Source organism: Homo sapiens, chromosome 22 (assembly GCF_000001405.40).
Source record: "Homo sapiens chromosome 22, GRCh38.p14 Primary Assembly".
Taxonomy (NCBI): domain Eukaryota; kingdom Metazoa; phylum Chordata; class Mammalia; order Primates; family Hominidae; genus Homo; species Homo sapiens.
In genome coordinates this window covers 30,283,160-30,304,663 of record NC_000022.11, presented here as the reverse complement: position 1 = coordinate 30,304,663, position 21,504 = coordinate 30,283,160, and the positions used below count along the sequence as shown (strand labels likewise).

The following is a 21,504-nucleotide window of genomic DNA, read 5'->3' as shown; positions in this document are numbered from 1 at the left end:
CACCTCTCACAGGCCCTGCCCTCTGCTCCACAGGCTGGAGGAAGTACCCCTGGAGGTGCTGAGGCAGAGGGAGTCCAAGTGGCTGGACATGCTCAACAACTGGGACAAATGGATGGCCAAGAAGCACAAAAAGGTGAGGGGCCTGGCCTCAGGTATTGGGCTGGGAGTTGGCAGCTTGGGGAGGAGGAGGAAGAGGGAGGAACTTCATCAGCTTAGGAAAGCAGAGGCTTCTATAACTGCCAGATGCCTTAGGTGTCCTCCAACTGCCAGTGCAGGACAGAAGCTGGCTTGAAGGCAGGGGGAAGGTTGGGCCCTAACACAATGACTTCAGATTCATGCAGAACATTGTCCTGGAGCTAAACCTCAAAGCCACTCTTAGCCAACAGCCATAACACAGCTTTCTTCTAGCCTTCCCAGGGGAAGGACTTAAGTGCTGCTTACCAACTATCAAGGAGGACTTTACAATACTGCCAGTAACTAGCGTGTATGGAACATTTGCTTTGTGCTTGGCACTTGCCTGGGATAATTCCTTACAGCACCCTAGTGTGAGGTTAGTAATAGTAGTATCCCCACTTTACAGATGACCTGGTCAAGATTTGAACCCAAGCAGTGTACCTTTAGCACCTGCCCTCTTAGCCACCACAGTACGAGGCCTTCTTTACCCTCTAGATTAACTTGATGACTTCCCTCTTGACTCCTGGCCAAAGAAAGAAGAAAGTAACTTCACACTTTAATGATAGTCTTACGAAAATGAAATCACCCAGTAGTCCTTTTCAAGTGAGGCTGTCTTTAGACACTAGCTCTATTGCCCTGTGGGAACATTCTTGCCCACCACTCTTAAGTGTGTGTGTGTGTTGATATCCTTGGCTGCCCTCAGCATGGTGTTACCACCTGGCCTAGAGGAGGCCTGTTCCGAGCCTTACAGCTAGGGTCTCTCTGTACAAGTTCCTAATGCACAGAATGAACCCTATTGCCCACTCTCATCAGCTGACACTCTGGTCTGATCCAGGCTGGCACAGCTGGCTGCCGGGCCTCACAGAAAGCTCAGGACTGACAGTCAGGCATATAGACTTGGGCCCAGCCCCACTCCTTTCCTCTCTTCACACCTGTGGCTAACTGTGGAACTTCTGGGCAAGTCACTTCACCCTCTCAGCCTCAGCTTCTCTGGCCAAATGGGAGTGATAATCCTGTTGCTCCCCACGAAGTGGTGGTAAGTGCTTCGTAGACTGTATCGTAGATGGTGAAGCCCTGTGCTATGAGAGGAGAGGCTCACCCAGACCTGGGCTCTTGCTTGTTATTCTCTATAGCTATCTGTCTATCTATCTGTCTGTCTGTCTGTCTGTCTGTCTGTCTGTCTATCTATCTATCTATCTAACTATTTATTTGAGACAGGGTCTCACTCTGTCACCCAGGCTGTAGTGCAGCAGTATGATCTTGGCTCACTGCAGCCTCGAACTCCTGGAGTTAAGTGATTCTCCCACCTCAGCCTCCCAAGTAGCTGGGACCACAGGCACGTCACCACACGTGGCGAATTTTTGTATTTTTTGTAGAGATGGGGTTTCACCATGTTGCCCAGGCCGGTCTGGAACTCCTGAGCTCAAGCAATCCATGTGCGTTGGCCTCCCAAAGTGCTGGAATTACTGGCATGAGCCACTGCACCCAGCCTATCTCTTTTTTAAAAAACAATGTTAAGACAGTTATTCCTCACCTGCTTCCTGCCTGACTCTGGCTCTGTTTCCCTGCCTCATCATTCCTCTGGCTCTTACTGTGAGCTGTAGCTTGCTCTCCAGCAATCTGTTATGGTGACTGGTGGTTGGCAGGGACCTTCCGTGTTCTTGAAAATCGGGATTCCAGAGGGGAGCTTCGGGGAGCACCTCTCAGCAGAGTAGCAGCTGACACTTCCCCTTTTCTTTCCTGGCACTGTGGTTAGAGCCCAAGACCTGCCCCTGCCCAGCTGAGGCCTCCAGAGGAAGTGCTTCAATCCACCGTGCCCAGAGGCCCTAACTCACTGCTTCTCTCCAGCCCAGAACCATCCACTGGGTGCCCCTCGTGCCATCTCAGCTGTGGCCATACTGGGCCCTGCCCTCGGGGCTCTTCCTGCCTGTGGAGGCTTGAGTTCTCCCTCTGGTCAGGAAGTCGTGGCACAGGAAGTATAATACCTGTTTCAGGAAGTGGGCTCAGACCCAACACTTCTCCTGGACTCATACATAGTCCTGCTGGGAGGGTGCCTTCCTTTCCGGAGACTCCCAGCCATGTCTAGGACAGAATTCTGGTCCTGCAGGGAGGCAGGGCTGGGGCTGGAATGCTGTCTTCCCGCAGGGCCCTGCCCTCACAGAGTTCAGCAGGCAAGGGTGTGTCCTCACTCAGCTTTCATCAGAGACCTCCTTTCCCAAGGCCTGGCCTCAGAGAATGGTAATCCTCTGTGGTTTCTGGGAATACTTTCCCATGCTTTATCCTTACTGGTCCCTACCATCCTCCCTAAGGCAGGCAGGGTAGAGATGACCCCCTCCAGCACCTTTATGCTGAGGAGGCCAGAGTGGGAAAGGCTGGCTGTACTCCCAGCTCTTTGCTGCCCGCGAAGTGTTCCAGGGCTCTCCTGGAGAAGGCCAAATATGATGGGGGCTGTGATGATGTGGGGCTGCCTCTTGCTGAGCTTAGCTCTGTGGGAGAGCCTGAAGGGCCTGTGGCTTTGGGCTAAAGCACATCCCTTTGCCAAAGCCTGCCCAAGTTGGCTTCCTTAAGGAGACCCTTGTCCCATAGCCGCAGGAAACTCTTCCTTGCGTCTAGTGCAGTTCCCTTCAGCCCCCTTCCTCTGCCTCCTTTCTAGGCAGTCCCAGAAGCTCTCACTTGGCACCTGTGACCAGCCACTGCTACTCTTCCCCCACCACCCTCAGCCTGTTTGCCTGGCTCCTTCCTGGTTCTTGACTCTCTCTGACCCTTGGAAAGTTTTCTCTTGTTTGCACTGGTCCCCAGGAAGGCCAGGGCTTCTGTACTCCCTCCTCTGAGAGCTTCCAGCAGGACTGTTGAAGGGGGTTTCTAGGTGAGGGGAAGTTAGGTGTGAGCTGAGGTCCTGGGCTTCTGTGTCAAGCATCCTCCTGGGATGGAGGGGCAGAGAGGAAGCCATTGCTTACTGAACACAGACTGTGTCAGGCCCCACACTAAGCACATTTTCCCTCTCTAATGGACTCCTTTGACAACTCTGCACAGTAGTAGGTATTATTCAGATCTTACAGTTGAGAAGTGGTTGGCTTAAGGTCAGCGCTAGATTCAAACCCACATCCAGATGTTCTTCTCATGCCCCGAGCGCCCATCCCCTTTATCCCAGGTCAGGCTGCTTAGTGCAGGGGTTGAGGGAGTATCATTGGCCATCTCACCCCTCCCCCACCACAGCATTTCACAGGAGTGATGCCTCTGCCTTTGTCCTTGCCCACCTTGACGGGTCAGGGCAACTGCCTTCAGAGCCTCATTCTGGTCCCAAGCCCAGGAGGAGCCCACTGGTGATGTAGAAAGTACACGGGGCTGGGTCCCTCCAGCCTGTGCGGTGCAGCTAGGAGGTAGTAGGGTTTCTGATTGTATGACAAATTTACCCCCACTCTGCTTGTGTGATGAAATTTCCCCCACGAATTTTCCCCTACCCTCAATGCCCCATTTGTAAAAGACATGATCGTTTTGATAGTTTTTCAAATTGAGTTTTGCCAGTGAAAACTTTTCCTGATAAAAACAGCTAGCCGGAATTGAGCACTAGCTCTGGGTCATGAGCTGCCTCAAATACTTCCTCCCTCACTTCTCCCATTCTACGAGTGGCAGAGAAGACCTGGGCCATTTTAGCAAGGGCTGAGATCAGGACTCACACTCAGGCCAGCTGCCTATGCCCCAGGCTGGTGATGTTGGGAGCTCAGGGTCAACGAGAGGAGAGTGGGGATTCTTGACCAAAACAAAGAGGGAGCCATTTGAGCAGCTCCCATCTTCCTTCAGAGTTCTGCTGAGATTTCTCCCCTCTAGGCTGGCGGTATCCTGCCACATGGCTGCTGAAACCAACATACCTGCGTGAAAGTGCCCAGGCCACACCTCTGGGCACATTCTGGTTCATCTCATGAGCTACCTTCCCTGTGGCTGCAGCTGAGCCGCACACAGTGCAATGCCCTCCCTGGTGACAGACTATGGGGTTCACCCAACTTGTAATGGTTCCTTTTCCTTTTTTTTTTTTTTTTTCCTGAAACAGAGTCTCGGTCTGTCGCCCCGGCTGGAGTGCAGTGGCACGATCTTAGCTTACTGCAACCTCCACCTCCTGGGTTCAAGCGATTCTCGTGCCTCAGCCTCCCAAGTAGCTAGGATTACAGGCGCCCACCACCATGCCTGGCTAATTTTTTGTATTTTTAGTAGAGACGGGGTTTCACCATGTTGGCCAGGCTGGTCTCGAACTCCTGACCTTAAGTGATCTGCCCTTCTCGGCTCCCCAGAGTGCTGGGATTACAGGTGTGAGCCAGCGTGCCCGCCTATAGGGTTCCATTTTGATTCAGAAGATAGTTATGAGGGTCTGGAATTCCATGGCAAACCTCAGGAATGCCTGTGTTGTCACCAGGGATGTGGGACCCTGCCATCACCTGGTGTTAGCATATCTAATTGCAGGCACCTCCTCTCCCCGCACCATAGGATTGGCATGGTAGCAACAGTAGGAAAAGTCCTTTTTTTTTTTTTGAGACAGAGTTTTGCTCTTGTCACCCGGCTGGAGGGCAATGGCACGATCTTGGCTCACTGCAACTCTGCTTCCCGGGTTCAAATGATTCTCCTGCCTTAGCCTCCCGAGTCGCTAGGATTACAGGCGCCCGCCACCACACCCAGCTAATTTTTGTATTTTTAGTAGACACGGGGTTTCACCATGTTGGCCAGGCTGGTCTCAAACTCCTGAACTCAGGTGATCCACCCGCCTCGGCCTCCCAAAGTGCTGGGATTACAGGCGTGAGCCACCTTGCCCGGCGAAAGTCCTCTTTTCTCCCTGTTTCTGCTCTTGCTGCTGTGTGCACTGAGGGCCCACCACGCATTGGCAGAGGGGCTGGGCTAGGGGAGCTGCCTGGGTGGCTGCATGGGCTCAGCTGTCCTTTTGATTTTCAGATTCGTCTGCGGTGCCAAAAGGGCATCCCGCCTTCTCTGCGGGGCCGTGCTTGGCAGTACCTGTCAGGAGGCAAGGTGAAGTTACAGCAGAACCCTGGAAAGTTTGACGTAAGTTTCCCTTCCTTTGCCCTGCCCTCCCTTCCGCATCTCTTGGCGTCCTCCCCATGGCGGCAATCCTCCATGTGCTCACCTGAACCTCACAGGATGAGCAGTCCATGAAACCTCCAGTCATGTGCCCAACTGCCCAGGCCCCAGCAGGCCAGACCGGCCCAGTCCTGGGTACCTGTGTCTCCTGGAGGGTCTGTACAACTGAGGCTCCAGCCCTGAGCAGCCCTCAGTGGAATGGCCAGATTTGGTACCCCCTATTCCAGCTCTTTCTCTTGATGACCACTCAGGTTTTGCTTTCCTGGGCTCAGTAGGCTACCTCCCTGCTCTTGGTCATCAGGAGGGGACACTCAGACCATTTCCCTGACTGCCTTGGGCCCTGTGCCCTGGGCCTATGGGGGCTTGACTAGCAGGACCACAGGTCCTTCAGTGTCTCCCGGCCTCCCATCCTCTACTTTCTCCTGCCTTGTCCAAGCCTGGCCAGCACAGCCCACCTGTGTGTCTTGTGGGGTCATCAGCCCTAGGAGTAGCAGAGCCAAACCCAAGGGGGCTGAAGGGAACTGCCCAAGTAGCTCAAGGGGTCAGACGCCAGTCAGTGGCCAGAGAGGGTGCCCTCTGTTGTTATCCCTCCTCCTGTCCCGATATCCCTCCTGCTGCTCCCTGCCCCATGGCTGGCCAGAGTAAAATACCTCTCCATTCAGAGCTGGGCAGCTCCTCCAGCCTGCTCCCCCAGGGAACTATGGGGAAGCAGTTGGATTCCCTGGGGTTGCCCCGGCTTACCTGCCAGATCTGGCCGCAGGCATCGGGGTTTCTCGCAGGCCCTTGGGACTGGTGACAGGCAGACAGTGAGACAGAGCAGAGCTGCCTACCACCAGCTCTTTGTTGACATATCTCATGCTTCTTCATTGAACACTCCAGTCTTGCCAAACCTGTTCCTTGAGATGACTGGGCAGGAGCAGGGCAAGGTAGCCTAGAGTTTCTGCTGTTGACCTGGAGAGGGCGAGAGCTTTTTGCTGGCAACACGTGGACTTGCAGGGGCAGGGAAGCTGGTAGAGTGTCTGGCTGGGGTAGGTCTGAATCTGGCTGATTGGATTATTCCCCAGAGCACCAATACCAGGCCACACTGGAGCAGCCTCTTGACTCCAGAGTCTTCCTCCTAGTGGCTACATCTCTTCCATTTCGAGGGGCCGCATCCTGGGCAAAGTGGGAGGCTCAGGGGTGGGAACCTCAGTCCAAGTCCATAGTTAAAATCAGGCTGCCAGAGCCAGGCATGAGAGCCAAGAGCGTGGGCAGCCTGGTCAGCCTCTTGGCTGTGTGGTTCAGCAAGCATGAGTGTGTGTGCAGCAGAACACAGAGCTGTGTGCATGTGTGTGTAGAGCTGTGCTTCCAGAGAAGAATCAGCCACCCCCCAGGGGGTCTGGAAAGTTGCTTGTGTGAGGAGGTGGATTTGCAGAGAAGGCCTTCTTGATGCACCGAAGCTGAGTGACGGGTTCCTGCATGGTTCTGGGGGCTGGAAGAATGGTTTGTGAGCACACCTGGAAAGACTTTGCCTGTGGGTGACCCAGAGGAAGCATGAGGAGCTTCCCCTGGTTGCTGCGGGTCCTGTGCCGAGGCAGGGCACAGTGGGGGTCTGGTGATGGCAGCATGCACCTGTTTCTGTGCTCTCTCCCCACAGGGCCCTCCATTCAATACCCAGTCCAGGTGGCCCATCCCAACCTCAGCATTCAGGGCAGGCTCTGCAGGTGCTGGTGGCTCCTTCTCCTGCACGTGCTATTTCTTCCTCCTTCCTTGGGCAGGCAGGACCTCCTGTCCTTTTTTACCTGGCTTTCTTCTCTGGCTTCACCTTATGATGGCGCCAGTACCCCTCAGGCTGGTGGAGGCTACAGGCCCCATGACCATGGTACCTGCTTGTCTGCCGGTGCCCTTTCGATCTGCAGCTACCCTCTTTTCCTTTCTCACCAACCATGTGTGGCCAAGTGCCTTAGGCTGCTGAAGTGCCAGATGAACACATCCTAGGAACTGACTTCCGGGGTTTTCGGGTTCCTACCTCATGGGAACTGCTAGGAGAATTTGTGGGGCCCTCTTCCCCATTCTGACAAAAGCAAACCTGCACTGCGCTCAGACAGTACTTAGAGGTGCACAGTACACAGACCCCCATCACAAGGGTGTGTGGGGCCCCAGAGGCACGCATCCACCGCTCCGCTATGTGCCTGCTCTAGGGCTCTGTGTGGAGGCCCCAGCCCCTCCCTGTCCCCTCCAGCCCTGAACACTCTGTCAGCCGCTCCTCTCAGTCCTTACCCTCTAGTCAAGTTCCTGGCACCCTAGGTTCTTGAGCTTAATGCTAGGACACTCCCACTGAGGGCCAGAGAGGGAAAGGGGCTTGTATGAAGTCACCTGCTCGTCAGGGCAGGGCCTGTGTCTGCGCCCACTGGGTATGTTTGCTGAGGACCTGGCCTCCCTCCTGAGGGCCTTCCCTGATGCTGCCCCTGCCCTGCAGGCAACTTGTACTTAAACCAACACTCCCATGAAGGTGCCTGGGCCACACCTTTCAGCACATTCTGGTTCCTCTGGTGAATACTCTGCTTCCCTGCTCAGCCCTCTGGGCTTCCTCCTTATTTATTTTTTCTTTCTTTTTTAAAAATTGAGGTATGAATTTACATACAGTAAAATGCATAGATCTTGAATGTGCATGCAGTTCAGTGAGTTTTGATAAATAATACACATCCATGTAACCAACATGCAGATCAAGGTAGAGAACATTTCAAATGACCAAGAAAAGATTTTCCTTTTTGTAATGGCTTTGTTGTTTTGTAAAGGTGCACATACTGAAGCGTTCACAGAAGTTCAAAGAAAAGAGTAAAACTTTGTTGAAACCTCGGCACCCAGAGAAGTATCTGAGGTTAATGGTTTGACAGATGTCATGTCCTTCCAGAAAGAGCTCTGTGCAGATCTCACACACACCTGGCTTCCTGGATAGTTGACGCCACCTGCACAGGGAGGCATGTAGCTGAGGAGCTGGGATGGACGGCTTTGAGTCAGACCTGGCTTCCAGTCCCAGCTCCACCATTTTTCTAGCCAGAGTTAAATACCTTGACATGAGGCCTTGACATTCAGTTTTCTCATCTGCGAACAGGGTGTAATGATAGGTCCTATCTCTGGAGGTTGGGGAGCAGGATCAGTAAGGCCCACAGGTACCCTGTGCCCAGCTTAGCGCCTGGCTCAGAGAAGTGGGAACAGCTGGTAGCTATTGCTCAGAGAAGCAGCCTTCTGTCTTAAGGATGTGACATAATGTATCTGACTCCCGAATGAAATGTCTAGAGGTCCTTCCAGCCGCAGCTGGAGTGGACACTCTTGCCCTCATCGGTCTTCCTAGAGCCAGGTTTAAGGTTTCCAGGGCCCTTCCCTCCTTGCCCCTTTGCCCCTGCCCAGGCATTCCTTACCTGAGCTTCTCTTCCTGTCCTTGGGAAGGCCCAGTCTGTGATGGGCTTGGGTGGGCACTGCCCCTGGTGGAGGGCCCCCTCCCCTAATCCCTGGGCAGCCGTGTCCTGTCAGCAAAGCCCACCTCCATCCTCCCCAGCCCCTAATTTGTGCCCTTGCTTCTAGGAGCTGGACATGTCCCCTGGGGACCCCAAGTGGCTGGACGTGATTGAGCGTGACCTGCACCGGCAGTTCCCATTCCATGAGATGTTTGTGTCCCGGGGGGGCCACGGGTGAGCAGGCTGGGCCTCATGAGGTGGGAGGTGGCTCTAGGGCCTGTCTCTAAGGGGTCTAAGGAGGTACAGTGAGTTCAGGGCTTTAGAAGCTCGGTGCCCCCAACTCCACTCTTAGCATTTCCCTTTTTTTGGTTTGAGTCTGATGTGTGTTCTCAGCATCTCCTCTTACCTCTGGGGGGGCTTTCCTCATTGACTCCAGAGTGCTAGAGCTTGTCCAGCCTGGCCCTCTTCCGGAAACAGGTTTTGTTGGCGAGAAAGAGGGATAGAGGGAATTGGGTGAGTGGAGGGTATGCAGGGGAGAGATAGGGCAGGCAAGGGGACCAAGACAGATGCAGGGACAAAGCTGGCCCGGCCAAGGGGCCATAGCTGCTGAGTGAGGGGCCCCTACTTCCAGCCCTGACATAGCTTTACATCCCGCCCTGGCCCTGCTCCCTGTTTTCTCTTTGAGCCTCTGCCCTCCCCTGTCATGGGGGAGACCTTCCCCACCTCCTTCCTTCTGGGCACGTGAGAGTCCATGTGCTCCAGTAGGAGACTGACCCCTTGGTGACCACAAGCAGATCACCTTCCCTCTCAAGGGAGGGGCAGATTCTGAGGCTGGCTGGTCCACTGGGGCATAGGTGAAGGCCGTGGGTAGCAGAGTCACCCCGGTCATCACTGCTCTGCCCGGCCTCTCCACAGCCAGCAGGACCTATTCCGTGTGCTGAAGGCCTACACGCTGTACCGGCCCGAGGAGGGCTACTGCCAGGCCCAGGCGCCCATTGCCGCTGTCTTGCTCATGCATATGCCTGCTGAGGTACCACCAGGCCCCGGGCAGGCAGGGGGGTGGGTGGGGAACCCCCAACGGCAAGGCCTCACATCTCTCTTGCCCACAGCAAGCCTTCTGGTGCCTGGTACAGATCTGTGAGAAGTACCTGCCCGGCTACTACAGCGAGAAACTGGTGAGTGTCGCCTGGCCTGGGACTTGCCCTGGGCTGGACACCCTCTGTGGCCCCTCCAGGCCCTTCTCTCATAGTAACTCCTGCCCAGGTTAAAAACTTTCCGGCCTTCTGTTGCCTTGAGGCTGAAGTCCCAAGGCCTGCCAGGGTTAGGTCTCCTGGGTTACAATGTTATCCCTTCTACACTGACTTTCATCTCAGCCTCTAGCTGCTCTGGTCACTTTGCAGAATTGAAGTTCTTCCAGGGCACCAAGTTCTTCCCTCCCTTCGCCTTGGCCTTGTCCTAGGCTAAAATCTGCTTGGAAGCTCCCTTCCCCGTGCTGTCCCCTAAAAACTTCTCTTGTCCTTCAGCTTTTAGCCCTCAGGGAGCTTCCTTGACCCTGACAGGCGAGACCCTCCAGCACATGCTTGAGAGCAGTCCTGCTCCAGCCTTGTTAGGGGCATTCAGCCTCCTCCCCCTCCCCTAGCCTCTTTTGCTCATGTGCCCTTCTCAGGATAAGCTCCCTCCAGGGGACCAGCTGGCTCCGCTTTGCTCATCATTGTATCCTAGCACCTGGCAGAGGCAGACACCCTGCAGGCGGTAGCTGCCTGAGCCTGCTGGGTGCTGGGTGCTGGGTGCTGGGGTGTAGTCTCTGCCCTGGCTCCTGCAGCCCACGGTCATGGTCCCGTGGCCTCGATGTCTCCCTAGGAGGCGATCCAGCTGGACGGGGAGATCCTTTTCTCGCTGTTGCAGAAGGTGTCGCCGGTGGCCCACAAGCACCTCAGCCGTCAGAAGATCGACCCGCTCCTCTATATGACAGAATGGTTCATGTGCGCCTTCTCCCGAACCTTGCCCTGGAGCTCTGTGCTGCGTGTCTGGGACATGTTCTTCTGTGAAGGTACTGGGCTGGGCTTGGGGGGAGCACCCCTGTCCCCAGCAGCCCACAGTGGGGCCTCTCTTTGCAGAGAAACCCCAAAAAGCTTCCTTGTACTTACTGCCCATCCCCCATGCAGGGGTCAAGATCATCTTCCGGGTGGGGCTGGTGCTGCTGAAGCACGCGCTGGGCTCCCCTGAGAAGGTCAAAGCCTGCCAGGGCCAGTACGAGACCATCGAGCGACTGCGGAGCCTCAGCCCCAAGATCATGCAGGAGGCCTTTCTGGTCCAGGAGGTACAGCCCATGCCTGCCCCTTATCATGGGGAGGGAGGAAGACAGGTGGGGGTCCTTTGAAGGGGGTCCCGCTAACCCTCAGCCCCTGAGGGTGGATCCTATGCCAGGACCATTGCTAGGCAACACAGAACATGTGGGTGGACCTCATCCTTCTGTCTGGTGAAGAGCATGGGGCACAGAGAGGCTTGGCTCTGCAGGGCCTTCTGGATCCGAGCCGCTTGGGAATGAAGAAGAATGTTGACCCACGGCCCCGTCTTCCTCCCTGGTACCCCATTCGCAGCCTTGGCTCTTATTTCTCTTTGTTCTTTCTTTATGGATACTTGTCTCTCAGGGGCAATTAGGTGGAACATGCGTGACCAGCTTTTACACATGAGGAAATGGAGGCTCACAGAGGCAGAATCACTAAGCAACTCCCCTTAAAGTCACCCACCCAGGTGGAGCTGGAATTTGAGCCTAAGCAGCCAGGCTGCCCTGGGCAGCGGTGGGTGACAGGTTGGCAGAGAGCAGGTTTTTGTCTGTCTGGGTCTTACCCCTTTAGCCCCATAGTCAGGCAGGTGGACTCGTGAAGCTGTGGGCAGCTTTATCCTCTGAGGCGGTGGGTCTCAAGTGTCCAGCTCACCTGGCACTCAGCTGTGGGGCTCGTGACTGCAGCTTGGGACTAGACCCTCATCCTTCCTGGGGTCAGTGTTTAGTGGCCAAGGCTGGGGGATGCTGAGGAAGACTGGGGGCCCAGGCTGGGAGGCAGAAGGGGAAGGTCCTTCTTCTTGGTGTCCACTTGCCTGTGTCACTGCCCCTGCAGGTGGTGGAGTTGCCCGTGACAGAGCGCCAGATTGAGCGCGAACACCTCATTCAGCTGCGGCGCTGGCAGGAGACCCGGGGTGAGCTGCAGTGCCGCTCCCCGCCCAGGCTGCATGGTGCCAAGGCTATCTTGGATGCAGAACCTGGTCCCCGGCCTGCCCTACAACCTTCACCATCCATCCGCCTGCCCCTAGATGCCCCCCTCCCTGGCTCCAAAGCCAAGCCCAAGCCACCCAAGCAGGCCCAGAAGGAGCAGCGGAAACAGATGAAGGGGAGAGGGCAGCTGGAGAAGCCCCCAGCCCCAAATCAAGCCATGGTGGTGGCCGCTGCAGGAGATGCATGTCCCCCACAGCATGTGCCCCCGAAGGACTCAGCCCCCAAGGACTCAGCCCCTCAGGATTTGGCTCCCCAGGTCTCAGCCCACCACCGCTCCCAGGAGAGCTTGACGTCCCAAGAGAGTGAGGACACCTACTTGTAACCCTGGCAGCTAAGGCCTCCAGGGCGGGGTCTCCATATAACTACACGGTTCATGAACTGACATTCCACATCCTGCCCACCCTCTGAGGGCCAAGCTGCCTGGCCACTGGGCTGGGCTGGAGTCTGGCTGGTCCAACACAGATTCTGCCTGGTCCAACACAGATTCTGCCTGAGCCTCCTTATTTATTTTCTTTACAGTGGCACTCAGGCTGGCCCAGCCAGGGCAGGCAGAAGCTAGGGCCTGGGGGGTGGGGCCTCCTTCAGCCCCCTCCTCCTGGGGGATGCTCCCCAGGGTTAGGGTGCTGGTGTGAGGGGAAAGGGTGGGGTGTTCTTTGTGTAAAATAGAAACATGGTTTTGTACAGAAATAAACAGCCTTGTATAGAGAGCTCGTGTACAGCTAGGGGCTGGGAAGGGGGTACCACCTTGGTCACCTTGGTGCTCAGCATCTCTTCTCTTTGCCCTACAGAGCCCCTTCTCCTGGGCCCCAGCCCAGCACCAGAGCCTCTCTGAGAGGTACCTTTGCCAGAGGACATGCCAAGTCCCTGGTCAGCCCCCATTCTTAACCCCCATTTTCACTCACCCCATCCCCACTGCCTTATGTCTACCTTCTGCCACAGATGAGGGACACCAGGGCTGGAGCTCAGTGCTGGGCAGAGCAGGGCGTGCTCCCTAGGCCTTGGTCCTCACCCACCCACCAAGGGGGCAGGGACTCCTAAGGAGGAGGTTTCAGGGTCTTCCTCCTTCAAGTCCTGGCCTGGATGCTACCTCAGGCTCCAGTAAGTTTCTGAGAGCTGATTCTGGGTTGGGGTCAGGGACGGGGCCCGGAGTGGAGCACCACGAATGTCCTCACAGGCTCAGCCCAGGCCCTCAGGGAGGGGGGCGAATTGTGGTTCTTTGATAAAATGCCGCCTTCGATTTACTGCCAAGTGCCAGGCTGGACTGGTCAAGTAGGCTCCATTAGCCCCATTTAACAGACGAGGAAACAGGAGCTGAATGGGAAAGCCTCAGCCGGATTTGCACCAAGAGCCCCTCACTCAGCTTCCTCTCCTGACCAGGGCTCCAGGAGACCTGACTCTGCCCTTGAGGGCCCAGGCAGGCACTGCGGTCACAACCTGATGACTGGTGAGGGCAAGGACAGGGTGTCCCTGGGAGAGGCCCCCCTTCTGCTGAGGAAGCAGCTTTTCCAGTCAAACAATAGCGCTATTCCTGGCAGATGACCAAGCTGGGCCAGGCCAGGCCATAGCGGGAGGGGGCAGGAGAGGGAGGAGCAGAGCCTCCCTGGGAGCTTTCAGCCTTCGCCTGGGCCTGGAACATCCTGTCCTGGTACAGCTGGGGATACTGAGGCCTAGGGAGGTGAAGGGTTTCAAGAGACTATCAGGGTAGGCCACTCCACTTCCTGCCTCCTTCCCCTCAGCCCCATGGTTTCCCACTCTGTCTGCACCTGCCATTGATGAGATGGGCTCAGCCTTTGAGAAGCTCCTCCTTCCCCTAGTCCTCCAGGGGATAGGCCAGGATGTGGTGGCTACATAGTGTTTCACAGGAATGTGTCAAGCCCGAGAGTCCAGGGAGGAGGCTTAGCTTGGCTTCCATCTGCCTATGGTGGGGGCTCCAGAGCAGGCAGAGGGCCTGCTTAGGCCTGCTGGGTCCCAATCAGGCCTGAGGCCTGCTTTAGTCTACTTGGTTCAAAGCCTCACATCTGAGGCCTCAGGGTGCTCAGGCCAGGCAAGGGTCCCCTGGAGCATTCTCAGCCCTGCATGGAGCCAACATGGACATGCTGATGCCTGCTTAGCCTTGGGGGGGTCTTAGACCTGTGAAGGCCTGATAAGATCTGGGGTGTCTGCCAGTGCCGGGGGCCTCCTTGAACCTGAAGCAAGTTTAGATGTGCACAGGCTAGCTAAGGGCTGCAGGCTTTGGGGCTCAAGTTTCAGGCTTGAGGTCTGAGTACTCACTGAACCTCAGCTGCAAGGGCCTCCCCCACCAAAGTCTGAGCACTGGGCATTACTGGCTCAAGCACTTCCGGGTTTTGTTGGTATCGAGGGACCTCAAGCCTTAGGCCTTGGCCACCTGCAGCCCCCTAACCCAAAGTATGTCGCTCAGGCAGAGGTGGCTAGGATTCTACCTCTGTGTGCCCCTGGTGAGGAGCCTTCTATTTTGAAAGTTGGATGAAAGGAACAAGTGGGGCTACCAGGCCAGGTTTCAATTTGTCAGCCCCCTCGCAAGCGGGGAAGGGTAGGTATCAATCGCAATCCTGTGTTGGCGGCCCTGCCCCCTGCAGCCATGAGAGGCAGGAGAGCGAAAGGCGCCCGGGGGACAGCGCTGCACAGCAGACCTGTGCCTCTCATTGCTCCGGGGATTTGGGGGCAGCGTTCTGGTCCTAGCCGAGCTCCAGTTTGTTTCGTGTCCCTTCTGTCTCAAGGACTTCAATCATGAAACCCACGTGTGTGCCAGAAGGACAGAAACGTCCCCTCCGGGATGCTCCCACCGGCTGCGCAGCTGGCTTTCCGCGGAAAGGGCGGAGCCCAGGGAGGGGGCGCGTCAGGGGCGGGGCCTGGAGGAGTCAGACGGGGTGGGGTCTATCCCCGAGCCAGTACTAAAAAAGGCGGAGCCGTTCGGGGCGGTCTCGGTGGGCTGGCTGGAAAGCGGGATGAGGTTCTGGCGTTAGGAGGAGGCGTGACCACCCAATAGGCTTCTCTTCCCGCGGGGCGTGGCCGTCAAGGAGCCGGACGCCGCGCCTGGCTGGGCGGGTCAGCCTCGCAGCGGGCGGCGTGGACGCGGCAGCGCAGCGGCTCCTTTAAGGCTCGGGCACCACCCCCGCCGCCCCGCCTCCCGTGCGGCCTGGGTCTAGTTGGCGGCGGGGTCGGGTCCGCGCGAGCCGCGATGGAGCTGCACATCCTAGAACACCGGGTGCGGGTGCTGAGCGTCGCCCGTCCCGGTCTCTGGCTCTACACCCACCCGCTCATCAAGCTGCTCTTCCTGCCCCGCCGCAGCCGGTGCGCGCCCGGGTTCGGGAGCGCAGATAGGGGCTGGGGGCTCTGCTCTCGCTCCGGGCCAGGGTCGGAGGATTAGGATCGCCGTAAGGCAGGCAGGCAGGCGGGCGGGAGCGGGTGGGGAGGACTCTCCCCGTCCGGCCGCCATCCGGCCTGGGGGACCGCCGCCTATCCGGCCCCGTGAGGCCCCCTCCCAGGGGCAAAGCGCAAACAGCCTGGGATGGGCAATGCTTAACTCAGTAGTGTCAAATGGGGGCATTCCTACCTGGTCACTGCGGGGAGCTCCTTCCAGGACGCCTCCCTTCATGTCAGAGGGGCTGGACTAGGGGGTCCAAGGTCCGACGCCCCTGGGGCTGTCGCCGCGGGTGTGAACCTCTCCTCCCTCCAGGAGTGGAGGGGTGGAGGGTTCCTGGAGAGGTCGGGAGGCCGGAAAGTAGCCCCCAACCCCCGAGATGGGGCTAACATCCCATTGGCCTGGAAATTAAAGGCCGAGAGGGCAAGAAGGCGCCCGGCCCAGGGTCGCGGGGGTGTCTCGGGGCAGATGGAGAGAAATCCACTCCCGACCCCTAGTTCTCCACACCAAGCTGAAGATGCTCCCCACCCCCAACCAGGTGCAAGTTCTTCAGCCTGACGGAGACCCCTGAGGATTACACGCTTATGGTGGACGAGGAGGGCTTTAAAGGTGGGGGTTGGTCTGGGGAACGGGAGTACGGGAGGGGCTTGTCGTGCTCCCCTTCTGTAGGGTTCTCACCAGTTGCTGGGATCCGTCCCAAGAGCTTAAGCCTTAAAAGCAGATGGGTCGGGGTTCGAATCCTACTCCACCACTCCCTGGCTGTGTGCCCTTGAGCAAATCACTTTCCCTCTCTGAGCTGTTTTCTCTTATGTAAAATGGGTATAGTTATGGTTCTGATACATAGGGTCCCATGAGGCCTTTATAAACTTAAAACCGCTGAGGGGCACTCAGCAGTCTTAGGCCTGCAGAAGGGCCTCTGTTATGATTCCAGTCAAGTGCTGCTGTTAGAAATCCCTGGGTATTATTTCCTCCTGGTCTTACTCTCTGGTTTGGGTCACCTCCTCCCCTGCTGGTCTGGAAACTCCAGGAGTCTGAGGGAAGGAATGCAGGAGCAGGCAGCCATCTCAGGGGAGGGTCCTGGAGGCCTCCTGGCTGTGCTGGGGTGAATAGCAGCCACCCAGGCCCTGGCCCCAGCTCAGGACTGGACGCCAGCCTGGGCCCTCCCTGGGGCCTGGAGCTGACGCCTAGCTCCTCCTCCTGCTGCTGGCCCTGCCCATCCTCACAGGCTTGGAGTCTCAGGCCAGCTAGCTGGAGCTTAGCCTGTCCCCATGCTCCACTGCAGGCCTTAGTTTCCCTGTTTTTACTTCAGAAGTCTGGGTCTGCAAAAGGGGAAGGCAATCCCCCAGCCAACCTGATCTGCGAATGCCCCCTGGTGGTGCCATGTGGTACAAAGCTTCTGCTAACCCACAGAAGACACCGTAGTGAGGTAGATATTGTCGTCCCATTTTACAGATGAGGAAACTGAGACTCAAATCACCCACCCCAGGTCATAAGACAAATTAACAAAGCTGGGATTTGAACCCAGGTCTGTCTGAATCTGGACCTCTGATCTTAAGTGGGAAGTTTCAATGCCACCAGGCCAGCACTTGAAGCCTTTCTCAGTCTTTGCACACATAGGGACTTCAGGAGCCCCAGCCTCCAGACCTGCCCTTACCTTGATGGAGCCCTCCAAGGCACAGAAAGGGAAACTGAGGCTCAGAGAGGGGCAGGGGCCAGCCTTGTAGACCCTGACCTGACATGTCCCCTGCCCACAGAGCTGCCCCCATCTGAGTTCCTGCAAGTAGCTGAGGCCACATGGCTGGTGCTGAACGTGTCGTCTCACAGCGGTGCGGCAGTGCAGGCTGCTGGGGTCACCAAGATCGCCCGTTCGGTCATCGCGCCACTGGCCGAGCACCACGTGTCTGTGCTGATGCTGTCCACTTACCAGACGGACTTCATCCTGGTGAGTTTCCTGCTGGTGCTGATGCAGAGCAGGGTGGATATAGGTACCTGGGAGCCCATGTGATGTGCCATCTGCTGTGGCCCAGGTGCGGGAGCAGGACCTGTCCGTGGTGATCCACACGCTGGCCCAGGAGTTCGACATTTACCGCGAGGTGGGCGGAGAGCCTGTGCCTGTGACGAGGGATGATTCCAGCAATGGCTTTCCCCGCACTCAGCATGGTGAGGGCCGCCCCCTGACACTTGGACTTGGGCAGGGCCTCCTCTTCCCACTGGGTCCCTTCCCTTTTGGGCCCCAGTGGGGCAGGAGGACCCCGGCCAGTTCCTGGATAGCAAGACCTGCCCCTGGCCCACGCCTCTCCCTGACTAGCCACCAGGGGGCGCCCCAGCCCACGGACACCTTTTCACCTGCTGCTGTCCTCCAGCAGGGCCCAGCCCCACGGTGCATCCCATCCAGAGCCCACAGAACCGCTTCTGTGTCCTCACACTGGACCCTGAGACGCTTCCAGCCATCGCCACCACCCTCATAGATGTCCTCTTCTACTCGCACAGGTGGACCTTGGAACTTCGTCTTTGTCCTCACAGCACTGTTCCCTACACTCTGTCCCACCACTTTCCGCCCATCTATCAGTTTTGCACCTCTTGCTTGTCCTCTCTTGGGGTTCCTGGCAGCCCATGATGCTCACTTGTGCTTCACTGATGTTCGGGGAAGGTTCTTGCCCCAAAGCTGGATCCCTTTCCAGTGGGGTCGTCTGAGCCATGCCCTGGTCTGGCCCTCTCACCGTGGAATCCTTTGTTTTTGGCACAGGCTGGGTTCATTGTCCTCCCCCATCCCCACCCACACCTTCCAGAGGGCTGGACCCTTGGGCGGGTAGCAGATATGGCAGAGCCTGCCCAGGCCACCATACCAGCTCCTTCCCAGGGTTCTGGAGGCTGATCGGGAGCAGGGGCAGTAGGCTGGGTGCCTGGTAGAGCCCCTAAACCTCCCATCCCTCCCCAGCACCCCCAAGGAGGCAGCCTCTAGCAGTCCTGAACCCAGCTCCATCACGTTCTTTGCCTTCTCCCTCATCGAGGGTTATATCTCCATTGTCATGGATGCTGAAACACAGAAAAAGTAGGTGACCCCTGACCCCGGGTGGGCCCCAGGCCCCAGCCAGTCCCAGGCAGGGAGGAGGTGGGGCATCAGACTCTGAGGTCAGCAGGTGTACCTGTCCCAGAGCTCACGGTCAGGCAGGGGTGGATGGGGGTGCCCTGCCCATCACCCATCTCCCTCCCCAGGTTCCCCAGTGACCTCCTGCTGACCAGCTCCTCGGGGGAGCTGTGGAGGATGGTGCGCATCGGTGGACAGCCCCTGGGCTTTGGTGAGGGCTGTTCCCGGTGTTGGGGGGCTGGGGAGTGTCTGGGGAGCAACCGGCATGTGCCACATGTGGCCTTCCTCCACCACCCTCAGATGAATGTGGCATCGTGGCACAGATTGCAGGTCCCCTGGCTGCCGCTGACATCTCTGCCTACTACATCAGCACCTTCAACTTCGACCACGCCCTGGTGAGCACCAAGGGCTGGGGCAGAGGGGAGAGTGAGGCCCAGAAATGTGGGCGGCAGGAGGTAGTCTCAGCTGGGCCAGGAAGTCAGGGGTGGCCCTGGCCAGCTTCCGCCTTGACCCTTCCCTCCTGCCCACCTGCCCTCAGGTGCCCGAGGACGGTATCGGCAGCGTCATCGAGGTCCTCCAGCGGCGGCAGGAAGGCCTGGCTTCCTGAGGCCCATGGGCAACAGAGCAGCCTCCCTGCTCTCCCCTCGACCCAGGCTTCCAAAGACTTCTCTAAGCTATTTCCTTAAGCTCTGGAACGAGCCCCCTGTTCTGCTGGGGACCCTCGTTCCGCTCTCTGTATGTAAGCTGCGTGCAGGCACCGGCTTTTACGCGGACACCTGTGTACACTCACAGGTGGAGTGGGCAGGTGCTAGCCTGACTGCGTGTCTGCCCATGCAGGGGAACACGGTGCTCGGGGCTTAAGCCCCCAACCCATCACTCCCTGCGCAGCCTCGGCGTTTGCACAGTCCCTGCCTGAGGCCTGAGCCATTCCCCAAAGGCTTCCTGGGCCAGCTGCCCCGCTGACCTCCGTTCTGCCTCTGGTGGGGTTGCCTTCCCTGGCCAGGTGAGTCCTGACAGTGCCTCTCCCTCCTGGGGCCTCCAAGGAAAGTATTTTGACATCTCTCTCTCTTCTGTTTTTATTGACTTGTTAATAAAGGACTTTGTAGTGACTGGGTTGGGCTACGGTCCTTGGGGGTCCTCTGGGTCTGAGTCTCAGCCATGGCTCCACCTCATGGTCCCCTCCATCTGAGGTCTTGGTCTCTCTCTGTGTAGCTGGCTGGGGGCTGGGCTCACCTGGCTTTGCCTCATTCACCTCTCACCACAGCTCAGTAAACCATCACCATTTTCCAGACGAGGAACCGAAGCTTTGAGAGGTGACATGACTTAGCCAAGGTCACATGATTCCCCTTCCCATGCCTGCCTTTGAAATCTGGGGTGTTCCCAGATTTCAGAATAGCTTCCAAATAGCCCAGAGGGTTCTGAACCTTGGCAGAGAGTCCCAGACCCTCCTGTCTGGGGAAGTCTCCCAGCCTTCCCTGTCATTGTGGATATGGCCGGCCTGCTATGAAACCCACCAAAGAGGGCCCAAAAGCACTTTTCTTTCTTCCAGCCCGCTGCCTGCTTTTTTCTGGGTCCTGCCTGAGTTCTGGCCGTCCCTCTTGTTGGCTAAGAGATCAGTCAGTTCTTAACACCAGGGCTCTCCTGGAGTCATTCCTAAAGTTCAGGGCCAGGAGGATGGGACAGGGACCTGGAGGCCACCTGGAGCCTGCTCTGTCCTCCGGGGCCGCCTCCCTGCTTGGTGAGGCTGGGATCCTGCTATTGCCTGATGGGGCCCCACAGATGACCCAGGGAGACTATCGGGTTCCCTCAGCCCAGACCCACCCATGCTCAGGCAGGGAAGAAGGGTGTGACTTCTGTGTACTCAGAGGTCGTGGTGGCTCCTCAGAAAAGCCAGAACAGGGACAGGCCTCTGGCAATGCGCCCGCCCTGCTCCTGGGGACCAGGGGTCTGGGGCCTCGGGCTACAGATCACAGGAGCCAAGAGCACAGCACAGCCTGGTGAGTGAGCAGCAGGGGCCCCCCGGGCCAGCCCTTCGCTTCAGCCTCAGTTTCCCCATGTGCATGGAGACCTAGGAGACAGCTCTTTCAGGAACATGGGGAGGGGGGCATTTCTTTGGAGTTTGACTTTTTTTTTTTTTTTTAATGGAGTCTCGCTCTGTCTCCCAGGCTGGAGTGCAGTGGCACAATCTCAGCTCACTGCAACCTCCACCTCCCGGGTTCAAGAGATTCTTCTGCCTCAACCTCATGAATAGCTGGGATTACAGGGGGCCGCCACGATGCCAGGCTAATTTTTGTGTTTTTACTAGAGACAGGGTTTCACCACATTGGCCAGGGTGGTCTTGGACTCCTGACCTCAAGTGATCCGCCTGCCTTGGCCTCCCAAAGTGCCACACCAGGCCGAGTTTGTCTTTTGTTGGGGGAGGGGGGTTGGGGGAGTAGGAGTCCCAGTTCCTCTCTTTTGAGGGCCTGGTGTGGGCCCTGGCTTGGGGGATGTCTGGGCTTGAGGTGGGAGCTTCAGAGTCAGGATTCTTGGGGCTGTTTAACCTACAGCTAGTGGGCTCCTGGCCCCATATCCAGCCCTGGGGGTCTCACCATCTGTCTGTCTGCCTATGAGTCATTGCCTGGTTTGGTGTTCCTGTCACCCCGGCTCACCAAGGGCCTCAGGCCTCTCTTGGGTCCCTCATACCAAGTCCCAACCTGGCCTCCGCTAGTTCTTGGGGTTGTCCACGAGGCTGGCCTGGGTGAGGGGCCACAGGTGCACCACTGCGGGCTGCTCTGACTCACACAGGCCTGAGGTCAGTGTGCCTGTGTGTGTCTCTGCCACATACCTGTGTGTCTGTGTGGAGGATTTTTAGCTCCTAGATAATAGGGTCCTTAGGGGTCACTGGGCCAGCTCTTCGCCTCCAGCAGGCTACAGATAGGGCCACCTTCCTAGGAGTGCTGGGGAGATCATGAGACCAAGCTGGGCTCAGGGGCACAGAACTTGGGAAGTGCCCCAGGGACACACAGATGAGAAAGTGGGGGGCATCTTCCAGGAACGTGACCCGGAATCTCACACGCAGCTGATG

The 21,504-nt window shown here is 57.5% G+C and overlaps 2 protein-coding genes across 3 annotated transcripts in view, besides 5 other annotated features; both read left to right on the top strand.

Annotated features, from left to right (window-relative positions):
- TBC1D10A (TBC1 domain family member 10A) overlaps positions 1-12,674 on the top strand; it is a 34,952-nt gene extending 22,278 nt beyond the window's left edge. The window contains exons 2-9 of one of the 2 annotated variants that reach the window (NM_031937.3): positions 34-133; positions 5,113-5,220; positions 8,821-8,927; positions 9,609-9,723; positions 9,803-9,868; positions 10,554-10,743; positions 10,859-11,013; positions 11,813-12,674. In NM_031937.3, coding sequence (NP_114143.1) covers positions 34-133; positions 5,113-5,220; positions 8,821-8,927; positions 9,609-9,723; positions 9,803-9,868; positions 10,554-10,743; positions 10,859-11,013; positions 11,813-12,289 — 1,318 coding nt within the window. In that variant the 3' untranslated portion in view covers positions 12,290-12,674. Of the gene's footprint in view, positions 1-12; positions 134-5,112; positions 5,221-8,820; positions 8,928-9,608; positions 9,724-9,802; positions 9,869-10,553; positions 10,744-10,858; positions 11,014-11,812 lie in introns of both variants that reach the window. The other variant, NM_001204240.2, reaches the window with a different exon arrangement.
- Positions 1,832-1,881: a silencer, noted in NCBI's record as "silent region_13606". NCBI's record gives its function as "represses an Ori minimal core promoter by ATAC-STARR-seq in GM12878 lymphoblastoid cells {active_cell/tissue: GM12878}" and the evidence as "EXISTENCE:reporter gene assay evidence [ECO:0000049][PMID:35858748]".
- Positions 2,042-2,131: an enhancer, noted in NCBI's record as "active region_18832". NCBI's record gives its function as "activates an Ori minimal core promoter by ATAC-STARR-seq in GM12878 lymphoblastoid cells {active_cell/tissue: GM12878}" and the evidence as "EXISTENCE:reporter gene assay evidence [ECO:0000049][PMID:35858748]".
- Positions 13,842-13,901: an enhancer, noted in NCBI's record as "active region_18831". NCBI's record gives its function as "activates an Ori minimal core promoter by ATAC-STARR-seq in GM12878 lymphoblastoid cells {active_cell/tissue: GM12878}" and the evidence as "EXISTENCE:reporter gene assay evidence [ECO:0000049][PMID:35858748]".
- Positions 14,782-15,221: a silencer, noted in NCBI's record as "silent region_13605". NCBI's record gives its function as "represses an Ori minimal core promoter by ATAC-STARR-seq in GM12878 lymphoblastoid cells {active_cell/tissue: GM12878}" and the evidence as "EXISTENCE:reporter gene assay evidence [ECO:0000049][PMID:35858748]".
- Positions 15,159-19,547, top strand: CASTOR1 (cytosolic arginine sensor for mTORC1 subunit 1). The gene is made up of 9 exons (NM_001037666.3): positions 15,159-15,279; positions 15,888-15,958; positions 17,104-17,291; positions 17,377-17,509; positions 17,716-17,839; positions 18,288-18,401; positions 18,566-18,648; positions 18,738-18,832; positions 18,976-19,547. Exons 1-9 carry the CDS (start codon positions 15,167-15,169, stop codon positions 19,042-19,044), a joined length of 990 nt encoding a protein of 329 aa, NP_001032755.1. The 5' UTR covers positions 15,159-15,166; the 3' UTR covers positions 19,045-19,547.
- Positions 15,422-15,501: a silencer, noted in NCBI's record as "silent region_13604". NCBI's record gives its function as "represses an Ori minimal core promoter by ATAC-STARR-seq in GM12878 lymphoblastoid cells {active_cell/tissue: GM12878}" and the evidence as "EXISTENCE:reporter gene assay evidence [ECO:0000049][PMID:35858748]".
- Positions 19,548-21,504: the final 1,957 nt, after the last annotated feature.